General features: G+C 47.1%; 1 protein-coding gene across 1 annotated transcript, besides 5 other annotated features; it reads left to right on the top strand.

Moving 5' to 3' along the window:
* Nucleotides 13,208–13,393: a silencer, noted in NCBI's record as "fragment chr12:108906844-108907029 (GRCh37/hg19 assembly coordinates)". NCBI's record gives its function as "represses an EF-1alpha promoter that drives an FKBP-Casp9 reporter gene in an ReSE screen in K562 erythroleukemia cells {active_cell/tissue: K562}" and the evidence as "EXISTENCE:reporter gene assay evidence [ECO:0000049][PMID:32094911]".
* Nucleotides 14,890–14,949: an enhancer, noted in NCBI's record as "active region_6960". NCBI's record gives its function as "activates an Ori minimal core promoter by ATAC-STARR-seq in GM12878 lymphoblastoid cells {active_cell/tissue: GM12878}" and the evidence as "EXISTENCE:reporter gene assay evidence [ECO:0000049][PMID:35858748]".
* Nucleotides 15,418–21,351, top strand: FICD (FIC domain protein adenylyltransferase). The gene is made up of 3 exons (NM_007076.3): nucleotides 15,418–15,502; nucleotides 17,056–17,414; nucleotides 18,541–21,351. The coding sequence occupies exons 2-3, from the start codon at nucleotides 17,114–17,116 to the stop codon at nucleotides 19,614–19,616; spliced, it is 1,377 nt and encodes a 458-aa protein (NP_009007.2). The 5' UTR covers nucleotides 15,418–15,502; nucleotides 17,056–17,113; the 3' UTR covers nucleotides 19,617–21,351.
* Nucleotides 16,852–17,352: an enhancer, noted in NCBI's record as "H3K4me1 hESC enhancer chr12:108910488-108910988 (GRCh37/hg19 assembly coordinates)". NCBI's record gives its function as "activates a minimal SCP1, AML or CMV promoter by ChIP-STARR-seq in naive H9 embryonic stem cells {active_cell/tissue: H9 hESC(naive)}" and the evidence as "EXISTENCE:reporter gene assay evidence [ECO:0000049][PMID:30033119]".
* Nucleotides 17,041–17,140: an enhancer, noted in NCBI's record as "active region_6961". NCBI's record gives its function as "activates an Ori minimal core promoter by ATAC-STARR-seq in GM12878 lymphoblastoid cells {active_cell/tissue: GM12878}" and the evidence as "EXISTENCE:reporter gene assay evidence [ECO:0000049][PMID:35858748]".
* Nucleotides 17,353–17,853: an enhancer, noted in NCBI's record as "H3K4me1 hESC enhancer chr12:108910989-108911489 (GRCh37/hg19 assembly coordinates)". NCBI's record gives its function as "activates a minimal SCP1, AML or CMV promoter by ChIP-STARR-seq in naive H9 embryonic stem cells {active_cell/tissue: H9 hESC(naive)}" and the evidence as "EXISTENCE:reporter gene assay evidence [ECO:0000049][PMID:30033119]".

A 21,940-nucleotide genomic window follows, 5' to 3' on the forward strand; every position in this document is an offset into this window, starting at 1 on the left:
TGCGGTTTCCCAGGGCCCAGGACGGGCTCTCAGTGGAAGCTTAAGTGAGCGTATTCTGTTGCAGTGCTTGGTACTATCACAAAACGCTCTCTCTAGAGGGAACACCAAGGCACAGCTGTAGCATGAAGTTGGTTAAGGTTTGGCAAAGTTTTCTGGGCACCCAGGTGAGAAGCCAAAACTGGAGGGGACGAGGAGGGACGAGCAGGGGGTTTTCAGGGGTTATCAGGCCAAATAACCAAGATGGGGAGCCTGGGCTGCCAAGTGGGCTATTACTTGTATTTTAGGGGGACACAGCCCCAAGGACAACACTGGGAAAGAGAGTGCCACCTTTTCTTCCAGTCACAGGGAAGACAACTGAACTATCCTCATGCTGCAGGCCAAAGAGATGCCTCCCATTTTCTGAACCTCTCACCTGGGAAGTAACCCATATTTTATTTAATCCTAGACCCAGATGTGCCAGAAATGATCAGAATTCCCAAGTGTCAGAGCTCCCTCCAAAGCCACCCCTTGCAGCATCTCAACCCTCTCCCAAAAATGGTTATCTGACCTGGAGCTGAGGACCCAGAGAGAGCTTGAGGGTCCCACTCTTCCTCCTCTGGCAGAGCCCACCGCAGGAGTGAGCCGTGGCTGGGCAGGGTGGGGCGGTAGACTCAGAGGTCTTTGCTCTGGGATCTGCAGAACATTTAGGGAGGCATCAGCTGCTGCTCCGCTTCCAAATAAAGCCCAGGTGCTTTTTCAAGCCTCTCTGAACCAGCACTTCTCAAACTTCATGTCAGCATTTCTTGAAGAGTTCCCAGGCCACAGATTCCTTGGGGTAGAAGAGAGGTAGAGGGAGAGACACTCATTTGGAACACCTTTTTGTATACCTCTGACTCCTAGAGTTATGGAAATATTTCACATGCCCAGAAAATCAATCAATAAATAATTAAAATCAACCAAGATGTGGGGGCTTCCCAAAGCGTGGTCTGTGGACCAGCAACTTCATTGGCCTCACCTGGGAGCTCGAACCCCTGGCCTTCATTTAAATTAATTAAATTTAGCCAGGCGTGGTGGTACACACCTATAGTCCTAGCTACTCAGGAGGCTGAGGCATGAGAATCACTGGAACCTGGGAGGCAGAGATTGCAGTGAGCTGTGATCGCACCACTGGGTGATCCAGCCTGGGCAACAGAGTGGGACTCTGCCTCAAAAAAAAAGAGCAAGAACTTTTTCTTTTGAAAAATTTAGACTCAAAAATTGAATACCTGGAGTTTTTCTGTGTCCTTTACCCAACGTTCCCTAATGTTGATATCTTGCATAACAACACAACAACTATCTAAACCAAGAAATGAACATTGGTGAATCTGTGGACATTCAAATTTCATCAGTTTTTTCCATTAATGAACACTTAATAAAAAAAACTAAATTTTTTTGACCATTTGCTGGTCCAGGATCCAATCCAGGATTCCACATTGCATGTAACTCTCCTACAGGACCATAATACAACCATCAAAATCAAGCAACGAACACTGATCTACTACCATGTTCTCCCCAGACCCCATTTAAGTTTCACCAATTGTTTTAATAAAGTTCTCTCTAGTAAAAGAATACAATTCAGAATCAGCCAAATACTTCATTGTCATATTTCCTCAGTGTCGTCCAATATGTAATAGTTTTGTCTTTTATGATCTCGATAACTTTTGAAAAGTACTGGCCTTTATTTTCTAGAATTTCATTCAACTTGAATTTGTCTGATGTTTTCTCATATTTAGCTTGAGTCACTGCACACCCAACATCAGAGACCAGTAAGCCACCAGCTGCCACGTGTTGAGCTGTATGTGTAGCAAAATCAGTTGTTTGCTGCCAAACCTATTTATGCCAGTTTCATTTGTAACTAGTTAAGTAGTATGTAGTAGGATTAAATAGGAGGGAAAGGCCAGGCACAGTGGCTCATGCCTGTAATCCCAGCACTGTGAGAGGCCAAGGTGGGAGGATCGCTTGAGCTCAGGAGTTTGAGACCAGCCTGGGCAACATGGTGAAACACTATCTCTACAAAAAATGCAAAAATTAGCCAGCATGGTGGTTCATGCCTGTGGTCCCAGGTTATCAGGAGGATGGCTGGAGCTCTAGAGGTCAAGGCTACAGTGAGCTGTGATTGCACCACTGCACTCCAGCCTGAGCAACAGAGTGAGACCCTGTCTAAAAAAAAGAAGGGAAAAAGAAAAGTTGTTTCTGTGAAAACTAAGTTAAGTGTTTCGAATAGCCCTGAGAAAAGCAAGCTTCTAAATAGAAATTGATGAAGAATTAGTTGTAAGATAAAGATGGAGGGGGAGGAAAATTATAAAAATCTGGAAGGGTTCTGTATGCTGCTTAGCCAGTGTCTTTAAATTCTCATTAAATTCAAAATGAACCAAAAAAGGAAATCACCTGATTCATGCAGGGAAGACAATGTGAGACTTCACCCAATTAACTCATTTGTTAATCAACCATTAACCCAATATTAATATTAGTATTCACAGTACAAATTAGTATACAGAATACTAGTATGTGTAAGTTAAAAGATAAGATAAAATATTCATAATGTAAGGTTTTCTGTTTCTCTATCCTAACCCACTTTTTCAACTAAGCCTCAACACCAGTCAATGGTCAAATGATATTAGGCTGACCTCTCAGCTACACACAAGAACATATTAAAATGGAGCACTGACCAGGCGCAATGGTTCACACCTGTAATCCCAGCATATTGGGAGGCCAAAGCAGGTGGATTGCTTGAGTTCAGGAGTATGAGACCAGCCTGGGCAACATGGCAAAACATCATCCCTATAAAAAAAAAAATACAAAAATTAGCCAGGCATGGTGATGCGTGCCTGTGGTCCCAGCTACTCAGGAAGCTGAGGTGGGAGGATTGCTGGAGCCCAGTGGGTAGAGGCTGCAGTGAGCTGAGATCACACTACTGCACTCCAGCCTGGGCAACAGAGTGAGACCTTGTCTCAAAAGAAAAAAAAAAAGTGAGTACTAGGAATATTATTCAGCCTTTAAAAGGAAGGAAATTCTGCCACATGTTACAACATGGATGAACCTTGAGGACTTTATGCTAAGTGAAATAAGCCAGTCACAAGAGGACAAATACTGTATGACTACACTTAAATGAGGTACTTATGCTACCAAAATGCCAGGGGTTCGGTCTAGATTCTGCTGCTTGCTGTAGAAAGCCAATACTGAGACAATGAGTATTGCCAGGGAAGAAGGCTTTATTCAGGTGCTGCAGCCCAAGAGATAGGAGACCAATCTCAAATCCATCTCCCTGACCAACTAAACTCAAGGGTTTATATAGCAGGGAGGAAATGTAGCTACATGCAGGAAAACAGGAATTAGGGAGGAATAAGAAAGAGGAGTTGGGCAATAGGAAGCAGGTGGTCAGTTAGGCAATCATGGCATCTTATTGTCCAGATATAGTGGCCTCGTGAGTTTCAGCTCCTTGATCCTATCTGGGAGACCTCATGGTTGGTTTCCCAAGAAAGGAACTCAGATAAGACAAATGTACCTTTTTCATGTTTTTAAGACTGGGAGGATCAATTTCTATGCTTATTCAAAGAAACCATAAACATCAGTTCTATGGGACAATTCGGCCAGTTTCACTTAGTGTAGTTAAGATCATAGAGAAAGAAAGTACAATGGTGGTGGTGAGGGGCTGGAGGGAGTGGGGATGGGAAGTGGTTGTTTAATGAGTACGGAGTCTCAGTTTCACGAGATGAAAAGAGTTCTAGAGATGGATGGTGGGGATGTTTGCGAAACAATGTGAATGTATTTAATGCCACTGAACTGTACACTTAAAAATGGTTAAGACGCTACATTTTATGTTATGTGCATTTTACAATAAAAAAATTGGCAGGGGGTAAGGGAGTGCTAGAGTGTTTACATCCCATTTTATAGGGTGTTCCGGCAGAATTTCAAATAACACACAAACTTCACTGCCCTTCCTAATATTTCCATTGCTGTGGGTTCTAGACAACCTGATGAGGTAAAACAGACAGTTTCCCAAAGATAGGGCTTTTGATTTGGTTTTGCTTGACAACTGAAGTTTTGCTGTTGTTGTTGTTATAGGGTCTGTCTCCATTTCCTTCTAATCCTTTGCCTGAGATTACCTGAGTAACTTTAAAAATATGGAAAAACTACCATTTGCCCTGAAAAGAGACAACGCTACTTGCCAAGCCCATACAGCCAGAGACCAGCATGTCTTATTTTGCCTGCACATAGTAGGATATCAACATATGTTTGCTGAATTAATTAATGAACAAATGAACATTTCATTTCTTGGCTGCAAAAAAGAGAAGAAAAAACCACAGGAAAAGTTGGGGGAAAAGAAAAGGGAAATGCGAAAAGTTACCCCAGTACATGTAGCAAAATCATCTATTTATGTTGTATTACTTGGGTTGGAAGTTACCTACAGAAGACAGAAATCATTTTAGCAGAAATTTCTGCATCAGATGCAGCCCAGCCCCATGACCAGTTTAACAGGTCTCAGGGCAGATGGTGAGGGATTCATAATCAAACTTCCATTCCCAACCCCAGCGCACTGCCCCCTTATTTGGACCCACTAGTGGTGATCAAGCCCCTTGCTGGTTGGTTCTTGCTTCTTGGGAAGCTGGGAGCTGATGGGAACCCTGGTCAAGAGATCCCACCCTGGAATACAAATTAGTACAGCCACTTATGTATATTTTAAGCCTATTGAAAAAAAATAGGGGTCTTTCCTCTTGGAAGACTCCTCTCTCTCAACAGAGAGAGAGCTGTTTTTCTTTCTTTTTCTTCTACCTATTAAACCTCTGCTCCTAAACTCCTCTTGTGTGTCAGTGTCCTAAATTTTCCTGGCTCAAAACAACGAACCCCAGGTATATACCCCAGACAAAGTAGTCACTTCATATTGGGGACATCCTCTGGGATACCAAGGTACAACATTCACTGAAACACAGTATCTGGTGGAGGCAAACCAGTGTTACAGACCATCGGAATAGCTGACAGCAATCAAATTCAAAATGGTGCTACAGACAGAACCATGCACGGACATGCCTTTCTTTCGAGGACCCTTAGATCGACCCCAGGAGGAGCCCTAGCTGCTCTTCCCCACACAATGCTACTTGTCAGCAGAAAGTAGCCAGAAAGAGTCATCATCCAACACCCCCTAACAGCAGTTAGGGTTACCACTCCAGAGTAGGGAATGATACAGGAGTTAAGAATAAATTACTTAGGCAGATAGTGATGGTATGGAAGTCCTCGGACAGGTTTTCCTTTTAATGAAAAGCAGCCCCAAATCATTTTCCTTTCTAACAAAGAGCAGCCTGCAAAATCAAGCGTCAGACATAGATGCCGGCAGTTGAGCCAATCATGTTAAAGACAGCGGCTCCATCTCCCCTTGTCTTTGTCAGCCACGTGTACAGCAAACACCAGACATGATGACCCCAGTCAACTGGAAAGCCTATTCACATAACAAGATTAGGGTGGGGTGGCCAGCCTTTCCTGTGCGCTATGTAAACGTCATACGTGATCAAACCAATCTGTGAGCCCTATGTAAATCAGACATCACTTCCTCAAGCCTGACTCTAAAATCCAGTGCACTGGTTCCTGGGCAGTCTTTCCTCTTGGAAGTCCCAGAGAGACAGGTGGTTTTCTTTCTCTTTCTCCTGCCTATTAATCCTGCACTCCTAAACTCAAAAAGAAAAAGAAAAAAAATGGTACAGCCACTATGGAGAACAATATTGCAGTTCCTCAAAAAATTAAAAATAGATATGACAATATGATCTGACAATTTCACTAGTGGTTATAGTTAAAAGAAAGGAAATAAATATATCAAAAAGACATCTGCATTCCCATGTTTACCGCAGCACTATTCACAATCGCCAGAATATGAAATCAACCTCAGTGTCCATCAGTGGATGAATGAATAGAGAAAATGCAGTATATACCCACAATGGAATATTATTCAGCTATAAAAAAGAATGAGGTCCTGTCATTTGCAGCAACATGGATGGAACTGGAGGTCATTCCGTTAAGTGAAATAAGCCAGGCACAGAACGACAAAGATCTCGCGTTCTCACTCATATGTGGGAGTTTAAAAGGTGGATCTCATGAAATTAGAGAATAGATTGGTGTTTAACAGAAGTTGGGAAGGGGCAGGGGGGCAGGAGAATGAAGAGAAGTCGATTGATGGGTACACATACGCAGTTTGATATAAGAAATGAGACCCAGTGTTCCATAGATCAGTGGGTTGACTATAGGTTACCATAATCTATTGTATATTTCAAAATAGCTAGAAGAGAAGAATTTGAATTTTTCTAGCATAAAGAAAAGACAATATTTAAGGTGATGGGTATCCCAAGTACACTGATTTGATCCTAACAAATTACATGAATGTATTAAATTATTACATGTACCCTGAAACTATGCACATCTATTATGCATCAGTTTTTAAAAACAAAAACTTGATTATCTGCAAAGACTCTGTTTCCCAATAAAGTCTCACTCACGGATCTTGGGGTTAGGACTTCAACATATTTTGAGAGGCACAGTTCAACCCATAACACATATTTGCACATAATAGAGTGCTTAAGAGCTCCAGATCCCCCTTAATCAGACCAAATCCCAGCTCCACCACTTATAGGCTGATGGCCTGTGACAAGTCATTTCACATCTCTGGGCTTCGGTTTCCTCATCTGTAAAATGGGTCTCATAACTCTACCTACTTTGTGGGGCATCAAAGGATTCAACAAAATCATGTATTTGTTCAATCAATGTTGATAATACTCCTGTGGCCTGCCAGCCTTAGGCAAGCTGTAAACAAAAGACAAATCCCTGCCCCTGTGGAGCTTATTAAGAACAAAGGGGCTGCAGAGCCACTTTATATTTTAAAAAATAGGCCAGGGGCAGTGGCTCATGCCTGTAATCCCAAAGCTTTGGGAGGCTGAGGCAGGAGGATCGCTTCAGGCCAGGAGTTTGAGTCCAGCCTGGACAACATGGTGAAACCCTGTCTCTAACAAAAATACAAAAAGTTAGCTGGGCATGGTGGCACATGCCTGTAGTCCCAGCTACTCGGGATGCAGAGGCAGGAGAATCGTGTGAGCCCAGGAGGCGGAGGTTGCAGGGAGCCGAGATTGCAGCACTGCACTCCAGCCTAGGAGACAGAGTGAGACCCCATCTCAAAATAAATAAATAAATAAATAAATAAATAAATAAACAAACAAGTAAAATATCTAGGCTAGCAGAGGGCGAAGAGTGAGATTATTTCTATGTGCATCATTTATGGCTGAAAAATAGAAAAATGACGCAAGTGATAGCCTCAGCAAAACATCTGCATGAAGTAAAAGAGGTGGCTGTTTAGTGAATCCCCATAAAAAGAGAGGGGAAAAAAGGTCTGTAACAGTGAAATTATCCTAACTCAAGGGATGCTCGTAGCATGGTGCCTGGCACCTGGTGATCTTCTGCTGCTTGTGATTATAACTCTCCCAAGAAAGGAAGTCACAGGAAGCATGTCCACTGTATGCCAGTGTGAAGCCCAGCCAGCCATGCTCCCAAAGGGCCACTTTACCCACCACAGTCCCAAAGCAGCCAGGAAGGCTCAAGAAGGAACAAGGAAGGCCAGGTGGGTGGCCTTGGAGGACTCTGCTCCCTTTCATCCATCCCCAGGCTGGGGGTTAATTTTGCAGCTGCACCCCCAGCCAATGAATTGTTCTCAAAGTGCATGGAAACACTGCTGTTGGAAAAACTGTGAAGAACCATAAGAGGGCAAGAAATAAAAATGCTGAAAGAAGCCAGACCCCAAAAGCCACCATATTATAGGATTCCATTTACAGGAAACATCCAGAAGAGAAAAATCTATACAGACAGAGAGTAGATTGCCAGGGGCTGAGGGAAGGAGCTTGGGGAGAAACAGGAAATTGCTACTAAAGGGTCTTTGCTTTCTTTGGGGGTAATGAAAATGTTCTAAAATTGGGGTGATGGTTGCACAACCCTGTGAATATATTAAAAACCACAGAATGGTACACTTCAAATGGGAGAATTGTGTGGTATGTGAATTATATCTCAATAAAGCTGTCATTTAGGAAAAAAAAAAACAGTTGCCTTGGCTCTAAACTTACTTCTCCAATTCCTCTGAGAATGCCAAATCACTGCCATCTCTCTGATTAGGGCTGAATTCATTTCACAGTAATTTTTAAAAGAGTATTTTCTCAACACCTGAAATAGGCCCTTTGATGTCTGTCCAAAGCCCTCCTGGGAATTCTTATCTATTTAAAAGAGGGAATGAGTATTAAGAGCTTGGCTTTCCTAGCTAGCCAGACATCCATGTTAATTTCCACATCTCCACGTTACTATGGCAACAGAGAGCTTCCACTGAGAGCTTTTTGGGGGGCATCAAAATGGACTGCAATTTGGACTCAGGGAGTCCACAGCCCCTCTGCCCAGCAGCCCCCAGACCCTGGCTACCTTGAATCAGGTGAAACAGAGAAATCAGAGAAGGGGAGGATGTAGGCTCCACTGGGTCTTCACTCCATCCTGGCCCAAACTGAGTCACCGTCCCCATGCAGGAAGAGAAGTGTTAGTCACATCTTTCAGAGGCTGTGATCTAAAACAGCGTATTGAGCACCTGAGTCAGTCTCCATGTCAACATGACCATATTTTTAGGCAGGAGTAGGCAGCTTCTTGGGCCAATTAGAGTAGTACAGCTAGAAAGCAGTCAGTAAACAGCTGGGAGAAAAGCAGTCAGCCACTGGGAGTCCACTGTTCTCACAGAGGAGTCTCACAAATGCAGAAGCTCCCTGCCTTGAGGTACCCAAAGAGTCCACCACATAAGGCCCAGGAGGCCTGAAGTCCATCCTGTCAGGCAGAATCAATCACTGGGACAGAGAAGGGAAGAGGCAGTGCATAAGACAGGCAGCCTCAAAGATGGGCCCCACTGATCCTCATCTCCTGGTGAGCCTTATGTAGCCCCCTCATACCTTGAACCAAGATTGATCTGTGTTGTGGCCAATAGAGTACAGCGAAGGTTAAATTGTGCCTTCTGAAGCTAGATCATAAAAGACACCACACTCTTGGGTCATTCATGCTGGAGAAGCCAGCTGCCATGTTGAGAGGACACTCAAGCAGTCCTACGGGGCAGCCCACATGAGAGGAACTGAAGCCCCCAGCCACCAGCCATGTGAGCCACCTTGGAAATGGAGCCTTCAGCACCAGTCAAGCTTTCAGATGATTGCAGCCCCAAACACTATCTTGACTTCAATCTCAAGAACGTCTGCCAGCTAGAACCATCCAGCTAAACTGCTCCCAGATTACTGACCCACACAATATAATGTAAAGTAAAAAATGTTTGCTGTTGTTTTAAGCTACTAAGCATTGGGGTTATTTGTTACACAGCAATGGATAACAGACATAGGGTGGATGTCAGAAATTGTCTCGAGAAGATGACTTTATGAAGATTTTTCCTCCTCGCTCCTTCCCCTACCCTTAAAGCATTTTTACAGTAGAAGGGGACATGTTAACGGGTAGGGAATCTAGAGACTTGGATTTGTATTCTGGCTCTGTCCTTAGTTTTTCCACCTCCAAAGCTGAGGAGCTAAAATGTAACCTGAGATCTCTGAAAGCCTAGGGTCTCATAATCGTCAAAACCACAGTTTTGAGTCAGGAAGACTGGTTGTGAACCCTGGCTCTGCCACTTGCTTGCTGTGTGACCTCAGACTAATTACTTAATTTATCTGAGCCTCATTTTCACCTTCTATAAAGTGGGTTTAATAATATCTAGTTCATGGCGTTGTTACAAAAATTCAATCAAATACCATACAAATTACTTAGCACACAGTAAGTGCTCAGTTGTCACCACTACCAAAAATGAGATAGCATGGTGGGTACGATTATTTCCACTTGTAGCTAAGATACAGTAGGATCAGAGGAGCAGTTAGAGGATTTCGTTGGTCTGGAGCAAGGCCCCATGTGGTTGTTTTTCCAAAACCCCCCCAAATGATTCTTTGAGAAACTTTGTCCTAGAGAAACTTCCACACATGTGCCAAAAAATCATACAAGTATTTCACTGCAGTCTGTGATAGGGAAAAATTGGAAACAATCCAAATGCCCATCAACAGGTAAATGGGAAATAAATTGTTAATGGAATACTATACAGCACTGTAAAATTAATGAACCAGAACTATGCATATCAGCATGAGCATAAATCTCTAAGACATAATTCTGAGCCCCAAAATGCAGAAGGATCCACACGGTATATATCATGCATAAAAATCTGCATAACATCATTATATATTATTTATGGATACATGCATGTGGATAAAAGCAAAAAGCCATGCATGGAGGCAGCAGCACCAAATTCAACATGGTAGTGACCTCTGGGAGGGAGGGAAGGGCATGTGAAGGGGAGAAGGCCCATGGGGCTTCAGTGTATTGGTGACATGGTATTTCTTAAACTGGATGGCAGGTATACAAGCGCCCATTGCACTGTTGATGTCTTTTGGATATCAGAAATATTTCATCATTTAAAAATAGATGTGGCCAGTTGTGGCGGCTCATGCTTATAATCCCAGCACTTTGGGAGGCTGAGGTGGGAGGATTTCTTGAGCCCAGGGGTTGAAGACCAGACTGGGCAACATAGTGAAACCCCATCTCTACAAAAAAAAAAAATTGTTTAAATTAGCCAGTCATGGTGGCATGCACCTGTAGTCCCAGCTACTTGGGAGGCTGAGGCAGGAGGATCACTTAAGCCCAGGAGGTTGAGGCTGTAGTGAGCTGAGATCATGCCACTGCACTCCAGCCTGGGTGACAGAGTGAGACCCTGTGTCTACAAAAAAAAAATTTTTTTAATTAGCCAGTCGTGGTGGCACACACCTATAGTCCCAGCTACTTGGGAGGCTGAGGCAGGAGGATCATTTAAGCCCAGGAGGTTGAGGCTGCAGCGAGCCGAGATCGTGCCACTGCCCTCCAGCCTGGGTGACAGAGTGAGACCCTGTCTCAAAAATAAATAAATGTGCATAGAGAAATATGGAGTAGAATTGTGAATGTGTATTTTTTTCTTGTTTTTTGTGGATTCTATATCTGTAATGATCTCATGTTGTTTTTAAGAAATAAAATAGTTGTTCAACAGGTGAAAAGCAGTTACGTTTAATTTTTTCCAAGTAAGAAGTACCACTTCCCCAAATGATTTGCTTTGAAAACAACACTCATCTGCATGTCTGAGTTTTGAAATATTGGTGATTTGAGACCATACGACATGAGAAACATCCTGAGGCCAGAACACAAGCCTTTAGCCCAGGGACACTCACATGGGGTCCCCCAAGCCCTGTTTCTTGGGGATGCCTCAGAAACTGGGTCTGACCCCACCAGGTATGTCTTTTCTTTTTTTTTTTTTTTTTTGAGACGGAGTCTCGCTCTGTTGCCCAGGCTGGAGTGCAGTGGTGCGATCTCAGCTCACTGCAAGCTCCGCCTCCCGGGTTCACGCCATTCTCCTGCCTCAGCCTCCCGAGTAGCTCGGACTACAGGCGCCCATCACCACGCCAGGCTAATTTTTTGTATTTTTAGTAGAGACGGGGTTTCACTGTGTTAGCCTGGATGATCTCGATCGCCTGACGTCGTGATCTGCCCGCCTCGGCCTCCCAAAGTGCTGGGATTACAGGTGTGAGCCACCGCGCCTGGCCCCCACCAGGTATGTTTTAAAAGGAGGATTAATCAGTAGCAGGGAGAAGGGCTGCTGGGCTCTCTTTTTCAGCCACAGCATTAAGTTAGACAGAGAAAAAAAAATCAGGGGTGGGGAAAGATGAGAGAAATGAAGAAGCAAGAACAGGTGTGGTGTATTTTCTTTTTAATGAAGTTGAGTCATTCTGCAGCCAACTCAATGCCATGTAGCCTCAAGCCGGGGAGTTTTGTTTTTCCTAAGCAATAGAATCCGACTCTGCCAGCAAGAAGCGCTTGACTGCTGTTCCTTAAACATGCAGAAGGGTTTTTTGTCTTGTTTTGTTTTGCATAATGGACATATTTCCCATGCAGCCACTTTCTGGGTTCTTTGTCATGTGTCAAGGTAAGCGTTTAGAAAACTCCTCCGTGGGCCACGGGGAGGCAATTTTCACCTAGTACAGAATGCTTAAGATGGAGAAAGCCAACTTTTCAATATCGCTTCAGGGACCATATTTTGTGCATTCAACACAGCTGAATGCAGACAAAGTCGAGAGTTAAAATTTTTTGAGTGTAAACTCCTGACAAGGAGATTGAAGGAGGGAAGTGATGTCAGGTGAATTACTGCCCCCTGGTGGCCAGACACAGTAATGGGCTCATTTTGCTGTAATAGTCCTTTGAGTCTTTTCTTCCTGCGTTCCCCTGCCATCTTCCACTACCGGCTACAAAGGGGTTACAATCTGGCGGCCCTGGAAAGCCAGCCGGCAGCCATGCCAACTGCCTTAAAATCTGGAGATACTGCTTAAAAAATCTAGGCCTCACATTTATTTTGAAAAATTGAAAACTCTATCCACTTTTAGACTGCATCCCAGCTAATAAATACGGGTTCGAGCTGAGAAGCTGCTGCCCACTTTAGACAAGGCATGTGCTCTCAAATCTGCCATACTCCCCACCTCTACCTATTGTCTCATGGCCAGGAAGCTTTGCTCATTAGCAGTTCCTGCATAGCCTCTGGATTTACTACTCGTAGCCTAAGCTAATTAAAGACTTAACAAAGAGAGGAGGGTGCCTTTAGAAGCAGAGGACTACATTGCTTTATACCTGGGTGTGGACAGGGGTCCACTAGTCCCTTAATACCCAGCTCAGTGAGGATAAGTGACTTGTTCAAGGTCACCCAGCCAGCAAGCGGTGGGCCTTGCATTTCAACGCACATCTGTCTGACCCCAGAGCTTCACTGTTTTCTAACATACTGTCACCCATAAGCTGGCTGCCTACCAGGCCCTCCTCTGGGGAAGGTTTTTACAATGACATTACTACTTGGGCCATCAGGAAGTGCAATTCAGAGGACTCCAAGAGAAAAATGTTTATGACCTTGGTTGAAAAGATTAAAAACGAGAAGCCACCAAAATAATCACCACCCTGATTTTGTTCCTTAAAAACTATGGATCTTCTGGCCAGGCGCGGTGGCTCAAGCCTGTAATCCCAGCACTTTGGGAGGCCAAGGCAGGTGGACCACTTGAGGTCAGGAGTTGAAGACCAGCCTGGCCAACAGAATGAAACCCCGTGTCTATTAAAAATACAAAAAAATTAGCCGGGTGCAGTGGCACATGCCTGTAATCCCAGCTACTCAGGAGGCTGACGCAGGAGAATCGCTTGAACCCAGAAGGTAGAGATTGCAGTGAGCCAAGATCACACCACTGCACTCCAGCCTGGGTGACAGAGCAAGACTCTGTCTCAAAAACAAACAAACAAACAAAAAAACAATTAGCCTGTGTGTGCCTGTAGTCCCAGCTACTAGGGAAGCTGAGATGGGAGGATCACTTAAACCCAGGACATGGAGGTTGCAGTGAGCCAAGATCATGCCACTGCACTCCAGCCTGGGCAACAGAGTGAGATCCTATTTCAAAAAAGATAGATAGGTGATAGATAGATAGATAGATAGATAGATAGATAGATAGATAGATAGTTTGCTCTGTGCCAGATGTATAGAATCTCATTTCACCCTCACATAAAACCTTGTGAAGTGGTAATATCATCACACTGTGCACAGTTTACAGAAAAGCCTAGACAGATGATCAACAAGATCAAGTCACTTGCTGAATGTGATTCAGTTTGCAAGGGGCAGAACTGGGATTTGAACCCAGGTCTGTGTGACTCCCAACAGTGACACCCCACAACCACCACCTAGCCCTGCCTCCAAGAGCAATACACGTCACAGAGGAGGTCAGATCTTGAAGCATCAAGCCTTCTGCAAATCCTGAACTGGATGCCAAAAGCAAGGTAGGCTGTTTGTCCCCATTTTACAAGTGGGGAAAGTGAGGCTAGGAGTAACGTGCCCAAGGTGACACGGAGAGTAAATGGCAAAGTCTGAATTTGAGCTCAGGTCTCTTTGACTCCCCAGAATCTGAACTGCTAACTTCTAAATGCTTAGCGTTTCTGGGGCACCTCCCTAGATGTTTAATTTCAGTATTTGTGGATTAAGATGGAGGTTTCCATTCTCTGCTTCAAGGAAAAAATTTCTCTCTGGGAAGCCAAAAGAACTAGCCAGGTCCTTCTGGAGAGGATACAAATTAAAAAGTCAGGGAGAACCGAGGGGGTGGCTTGCGCCTGTAATCTTAGCGCTTTGGGAAGCCGAGATGGAGGGAGAGCTTAAGGTCAAGAGTTCGAGACCAGCCCGGGCGACATAGTGAGACCCGGTCTCTAAAGAAAATAAAAAATCAGAAATAGGTCGGGCGCGATGGCTCACGCCTGTAATCCCAGCACTTTGGGAGGCCGAGGCAGGCGAATCTTCTGAGGTCAGGAGTTCGAGACCAGCCTGGCCAACGTGGTGAAACCCCATCTCTACTAAAAATACACAAATTAGGCGGGCGTGGTGATGCGCGCCTGTAATCCCAGCTACTCGGGAGGCTGAGGCAGGAGAATCGCTTCAACCTGGGAGGCGGAGGTTGCAGTGGGCCAAGATCGTGCCACTTCCCTCCAGCCTGGGCAACAGAGTGCGATTCCGTCTCAAAAAAAAAGAAAGAAAGCAAGACAGAGAGAGAGAAAAAAAAAGAAAGAAAGAAAGAAAAGAAAAGAAAAGAAAATTCGCCGGGCATGGTGGCATGCACCTGTAGTCCCAGCTACTCGGGAGGCTGAGATGGGAGGATTGCTTGAGCCCAGGAGGTGGAGGCTGCAGTGAGCTGCAATTGCTCCACCGCACTCCAGCCTGGGCGACACAACGAGACCCTGTATTTTATAAGAAAAAAAAAAGTTGTTTAAGTCAGGGAGGAAAAGACACAGAGAGGAAAAGAGTAAAGAAGAAGAAGGCGGCAAACTCAGCAGCATGGGGTGGAGGCTAAGAACAGGGGCTGCGCAGTCAAGCAGGCTAACCGGGTGAAGGGGTGAAAAGCATCAGCATCTTCATTTCACAACCGGGAAAAATGAGGCACACGACAGCGGCTCCGGGACGAAGAGACCCGAGGAAAAGACCGCCGTGGAACTTCCAGTTTCCGGGCCCGCCACCTAGTGTGCCCCAAATCCGCACGCCCATCGGGTTTCCAGCACCTGCTCCTCCTGCCTGTGGCCTAGGCCCCGCCCCTCCCGCTGCTTATTGGCTGCTACGTGAACGAGACAAACGCAAGCAACAACCAATGGGAGTGGCCCACGGCGCGTCTTTCCCGGGGAAGCCGACGCGGACGCGGGAACCCGGAAATGCGAGGGAAGGACAAGTGGGGAAAGCCAATCCGCCGCGACGAGGGCTGCGGGCGGTTCAATGGCAAGTCGCCGGGGGCGGGGCCAGAGGCCGGCGGAGAAGGAGGACCCGGGAGCCGGCGGCCCGGAGCTGGGAGCGCGGGGAAGGCGGTTGGGGTTCTGACAGCTGCGCGCGGTGAGAAGGGGAAAAGCCCTAGGGGCTCGAGAGGATGAAGCCGGGAAGGGTGCGACGGGGCCGCGAGCCCTGGGCGGGGTTCGGGAAGGGAGGCTCTGCAGTCTTGGAGGGGACTCAGACCGGTCCCCTCCCCTCTCCGGGCCTCAGTTCTCCCTTTCTAGGGAAGTGTGGGGGAGAGATTCGCGCCTCCCAGAACGCACTCCTTCCCTGCACACACCCCTGGCACCGGCGAACTGCCCCCTTTCCTGTACCGCCCCGCCCAGGAGCCTGTCCCCTCGGGAAGCCCGCCCAGACCCCTGGACCCGCGCAGCACTCCAGGCGCACCCCTATTAAAGCGCACCCCAAGCCATTTCACATGTTCTGTGGCAATGGGCCAGGATCCCCATGAGACTCAGAACCCCGTGATCCATCAGTCATTCCCGGGTCAGGACCAGCCCAGAGCAGGTGCACAGGCCCTGCTTAGTAATAAGGTAGAAATCGAGACCTGGGGACCGGGTTCAGAGGCCCTGGGGTTTCCTTCCGGATGCCTCTGTTTACCTCCTGTGGGCCTTCTGGAATTTAACTTATGCTCTCTGTGTCTTGGTTTCCCTTGTCTGTAAAATGGAGCTAGCGGTAGCTCTTCCTTCATAGGGTGGCATGAGGGTGAAACGAGGCAATGCGTGGCCAGTACACTGCTCAGCACCTAGGACACCATAGTTGCTTAATAAGTGCTTATTGTTAGCATAGTGTTTGCATGCCTGGCCCCACCTCCACTCCCACTGCCAGCCCCAAGCACATACAAGCCATGTTGTCACTGAGGCCAAGCACTGTGGCCCACAGCCTGAGTTCCTTTCGAGATGCTCGAACTGCTCATCTTCTTGATGGGGTCCCTTCTGGACAGGCCAGAAATGGAAGGCCAGAGAGGGGAAGGGCACTGTGGGAGCTGTGGCTGAATATCAGGGTGAGGGCAATAAATGAGGCCACCCAACAATTGTGCTTATCAAAGATTGGGCGTCAGAACTGCTGTGGCTGATCTGCCTGGGTGTCTGTCAGTCATTTATGTCCCAAATGTTTGACATATGTCCACAAATCCAGTGTTTGTGGTCAGAAGCCACAGGGATATATGGGAAGGGGGGACACTTTAGAGCCGTGGGGTTCCTGAGTTCAAGTCCTAAGGCTGTCACTTGCTCCCGGCGAGACTTTCGGCAAGGGACTTCACCTCTCTGAACCTCAGTTCCCTCACCTGGAGAAGGGTGAAAACATCAGCTCAAGTCGTTGAAGATTGCAGGAGGTGACCCATGTGAGGCATTTGGTGCTTAGCACACGGCCTGGATTATGGCAAGTGCTCATTAATTGTTGGACCACAGCAGTGTTTTCACATTCATACTGCCCAGGAGGTGGCACCAGTCCTTCTAGGCTGGCCCCTCCTCTAGTGAGATCCAGTCCTTGACTTGCCCCCACCCCATCTCTCTAGTGAGCTAAAAGAGCAGAAGTCTCCAAACCCATCTTCCCAGCTGAAGTCACACTATGTCCTGAACGTGTCTGTTTCTCCTGCGACTCTTGGCTCCTTGCAGATCCTGCTCTCTCTCAGCCGCCTGTGGACATGCGCAAAGGGCCCTCTCCTGAGTCCAGATGATGCTCATACCAATGGCTTCAGTGATGGCGGTGACTGAACCGAAATGGGTCTCGGTCTGGAGCCGCTTCCTCTGGGTGACGCTGCTGAGCATGGTGCTGGGGTCCCTGCTGGCCCTGCTGCTGCCGCTGGGGGCTGTGGAGGAGCAGTGCTTGGCTGTGCTCAAAGGCCTCTACCTGCTCAGGAGCAAACCGGACAGGGCGCAGCATGCCGCCACCAAGTGCACCAGCCCGTCCACGGAGCTCAGCATCACCTCCAGGGGCGCGACGCTGCTGGTGGCCAAGACCAAGGCCTCTCCAGGTAAGACAGACTGGCCGTCTTCCTCAATGCTTGTTAACTGGATAGACAGACATAGAATGTGTCATGTCCTGTATGTGGGGCATCGGGGTATTGTGAACAAGTCAGCCCTGAGCTCCTAGTATAGACAAGGTGATGTGACTGAGACAGTGTCACAAGTGTGGTGATGGGGAAGCATAAAGGGCTGTAGGAGCATACCAGGAAGGCTCCCTGGAGGAAGTGACACCTGAGCTGGGACCCAGTTGTTAAGTAGGAGTCATCCAGGGTGAAGGGCATCCAAGGAAAAGGACTCCAGGCAGAGACCAGAGGTTAGTTGTCATAACTGACATAACTGTCGTAAGAGAGCCTGGGGGCATTCGAGGAACTAAAGGAAGTTGAATGTGTGGGGCTGATCCTCAGGTGGCCAAGAGGGGCCAGGACAGGAGGGCTAGGGCTAGAGCAGGCTCCCCACCTCCACCAGTTCTCTGTGGTGGGGACTGAAAGTGCATTGTTAGATGGTGGTGGCATCCCTGGCCTCTCCCCATGAGATGCCTGTAGCACTCCCTCCACCTCCTCAGTTATGACAACTAACCAGGTCTCCAGACGTCACCAAATGTCCCCTGGGGCGCACAATCAAACCACTGGGTTAAAAGAGTTAAAGAACAGTCCCGGGATGGTTGACGCCCCCAGGGTCTAGGAAGAGTGGGGAGTTGTTAACGCCTTTGGGCCTCCCGGGGCAGGAACCTGTGTCACCAGCACAAGATGAGCTGGAGATGTAGGAGACGGCCTACACTGGGAGCTGTGGCCCACAGGAAAGGCCCAGCAGAGAGGGCCCAGGCGAAGTAAATGCCTAGAACTTTCTATGTCCAGAAAGCAGGAGGCTAGGAAGCCAAGGAGGTGCCTCCCAGAATACAAGAGAGTGGCTCTGGGGACACACGGATAGTGACTGCATACCACCACACGGCTGGGGCAACAGAGTGGTACCGGGCATGTTGAGTACACACGATGCGGCTGCAACAAGCTCCTCAAGGCCAGGGACACAGGCTGGTCATCATGGTTTCCTGCGGAGACCAGCACAGGGGACAGCCCCCCGAATGTCCTCTGCCCCCTAGCCTCCCTCCCTCACAGCGCTTCTTTGGCTCTCTTCCAGCGGGTAAGTTGGAAGCCAGAGCTGCCCTGAACCAGGCCCTGGAGATGAAGCGCCAGGGCAAGCGGGAAAAAGCCCAAAAGCTCTTCATGCACGCCCTCAAGATGGACCCGGACTTCGTGGACGCGCTCACCGAGTTTGGCATCTTCTCGGAAGAAGACAAGGACATCATCCAGGCGGACTACTTGTACACCAGAGCATTGACCATCTCACCCTACCATGAGAAAGCACTGGTCAACCGCGATCGGACACTGCCTCTTGTGGAAGAGATCGACCAGAGGTATTTCAGCATCATCGACAGCAAAGTGAAGAAGGTCATGTCCATCCCCAAGGGGAACTCAGCTCTGCGCAGGGTCATGGAGGAGACCTACTACCATCACATCTACCACACAGTGGCCATCGAGGGCAACACCCTCACCCTCTCGGAAATCAGGCACATCCTGGAGACCCGCTACGCCGTGCCCGGGAAGAGCCTGGAGGAGCAGAACGAGGTCATAGGCATGCATGCAGCCATGAAGTACATCAACACGACTCTGGTTTCGCGCATCGGCTCCGTCACCATCAGCGACGTGCTGGAGATCCACAGGCGGGTGCTGGGCTACGTGGACCCCGTGGAAGCCGGCAGGTTTCGGACAACACAGGTCCTGGTCGGACACCACATCCCTCCCCATCCGCAGGATGTGGAAAAGCAGATGCAGGAGTTTGTACAGTGGCTCAACTCCGAGGAAGCCATGAACCTGCACCCAGTGGAGTTTGCAGCCTTAGCCCATTATAAACTCGTTTACATCCACCCTTTCATTGATGGCAACGGGAGGACCTCCCGTCTGCTCATGAACCTCATCCTCATGCAGGCGGGCTACCCGCCCATCACCATCCGCAAGGAGCAGCGGTCCGACTACTACCACGTGTTGGAAGCTGCCAACGAGGGCGACGTGAGGCCTTTCATTCGCTTCATCGCCAAGTGTACTGAGACCACCCTGGACACCCTGCTTTTTGCCACAACTGAGTACTCGGTGGCACTGCCAGAAGCCCAACCCAACCACTCTGGGTTCAAGGAGACGCTTCCTGTGAAGCCCTAACCCTAGAAATCCTCAGTGACAAAGGCTGTCCTGAGGTAGGAAAAAAAAAAAGAAACAGCATTTCTAGAAACCTAGTCACTTCCTAAAGCAAAAGGAGAAACATTCTTTACCTCCAAATGTTTTAGTTTTAAAAAAAAAAAAAAACTAAGTTATGAAGCCTTGTCTCTAAAATAACTTATAATTCAACCAAGCTATTTATTTTCTTCTTTGGAGCAAGCTAGTCAGTATTGTATGGTGTCTGCTGTGTCTTGCTGGTGGCCGTGCTTTAGGGGCAACAGTGCCACCATGTGACCAGAACAAAGGTTCTGGAGCAGAATTTGCACTAAGGTGGAGGAGCGGCCAAGAGGTGTGGGACGGGGCCCAGAGCCACTGACATAACTCCTCCAAGTGCTTCTCTGAAACAGGCTGAGAGGTTCTGTGACTGCAACTGGGAAGTCAGACCCAAGTCGCAGCTGAGAGAAATGGTTGAAAGCTCACTTTCTCAAGGTTTAGATTAGTGGTGACTAACTTCCAAGCAAACTTCATAGAAGAGAAAATGAATGCCGACATTCCTTACTTACCTGCAGGAAGACTTTTTGAGCCATAGTTTGCAAACTTTAGTGCCAGCAGCTGTTTTTTTTTTTTTTTTTTTCATATTGAGACTATTTTTCTAATTAAGAATAGGGGGTAGCCATAAAGAGCTGTATGTTGGAGGGGGAAACATGGTGGGCGGGCAGTTTGGTTTTCTTTGTGTATCCGCGTTTCTCTCACACTTCATTTGTAGCAACTCAGGCCAGATGTTTTCGTCTGAAATTCTCTGGGCTTGTCATTCCACCTGTATCGTGCTGCAAACCAGGTGTTATGCTAGTAGGCATCTGCCCTCACCCCTCTGCCTGAGTTTTCTGTAGGCAGATGTTAACCTGAGAAAACAAGTGCCATGTGGACACCAAGTAAGCATTTTTGATAATGAATTAGAGCACCAGTTTCTACTGAATGGAGCAAAAACCTTCAGCCATGGCCAGGCTGCATCCCTTTGGTCCTGGAGTTTCATCTACTTACTGCCATCTTCCACGGTCTTTGCACTGTCCCGTGTCCCATCCCCCTGGGAGGCAGAAGAGATTGCCTCGGAGTGGCCTTATTTTTCTCGCAACTTGTGAAATGATGTAGTGCTCTATGTAATATGGCCGGGTTTCCAAGCTGTCATCCAATGGAAGTAGAATCTTCTCTTTGAATCATATGGTACAGGTGCCAATATGACTGCTGCTATTTAGAGTCAGAGAGGTGGAAGTCACTGGGTCCCTTTCCCAGTGACAGAGCCCATGATGTCTAACACTACTGCACTTTGTCAGTGTGTGAGTGATGGCGAATACGCAGTGTTGTCTCTTTGATTTGGTAATTCCGTTCCTGACAGTAATGAGGCCACTGCTCTAAAGTAGTTTATACAGTTCTTCAGTTGTATAAATAGCACAGAGTAGTTTTTGAAAGGTTAAGAAAAATAAGTGAAAAGACATACACGATATATGAAATGGCTCCAAATGATAATTGTTCAAACCTTTATAAAATGTGTTTTCGTACTCTTATGCTGCCAGAGGTACTTCTTAAAACTCTTCTCGTCTTGGTTTTATAAGCACACCACGGAGGTCTGACAGATGTGCTTGCTTCTACTACAGAGCAAGAGAATTTGCACTTTAGCTATATGTGAAGGATATTATTTTAACAAATTCCTGATTCTAATAAAGTTATTTTATTACATGAATGCTTGAGACTGTCTTATTTGGGAGATGTTCCCATCTGTCATAAGGGCAGTGGGGGTATTCTGACCTTTAGCCCTATTCATAATACTGTTCTGGGAGAGCAACAGATCCAAGATGGTGATTTCCATGGGCAAGAGACCCAGAAGTTGGATAAACCGCCTACCTAGGTGGGCAAGGATGAATTACTGATTTTTTTTTACTAACAAACAGTCAAGTAACTGAAGTAGTTTTTCACATTTCTATTTATCATCAGTTCTGGATTTTCTGGGGAAAACACACAAACCCACTCATGTAGTCCTGGAAATCCATTTCTAGAACAGTCAACACCCGGAACCTAACTGGGTTCTGCTCAAGCCTGAAAAGGTTTGCCCCTGTACCAAGCCTGGGCTGACATCTGCAAGTGTGACATTAAGGTCAGAATACTGGCTGCAGGCAAAGCCAAACCGTTAATGTGAAGCAGCAAAAAGTAAGGCCACACTCACCCATAGTGATATTCAGGGCTCTTCATGTGTCAGGTCCCCAACCATGAGGGCTCTGAGCTACCCAAATCATCACACCAGCTGAACAGTCCATCAGCCTTCCAAGCAGCAT

The sequence above is a fragment of the Homo sapiens genome, chromosome 12 (genome assembly GCF_000001405.40).
Source record: "Homo sapiens chromosome 12, GRCh38.p14 Primary Assembly".
Classification (NCBI taxonomy): domain Eukaryota; kingdom Metazoa; phylum Chordata; class Mammalia; order Primates; family Hominidae; genus Homo; species Homo sapiens.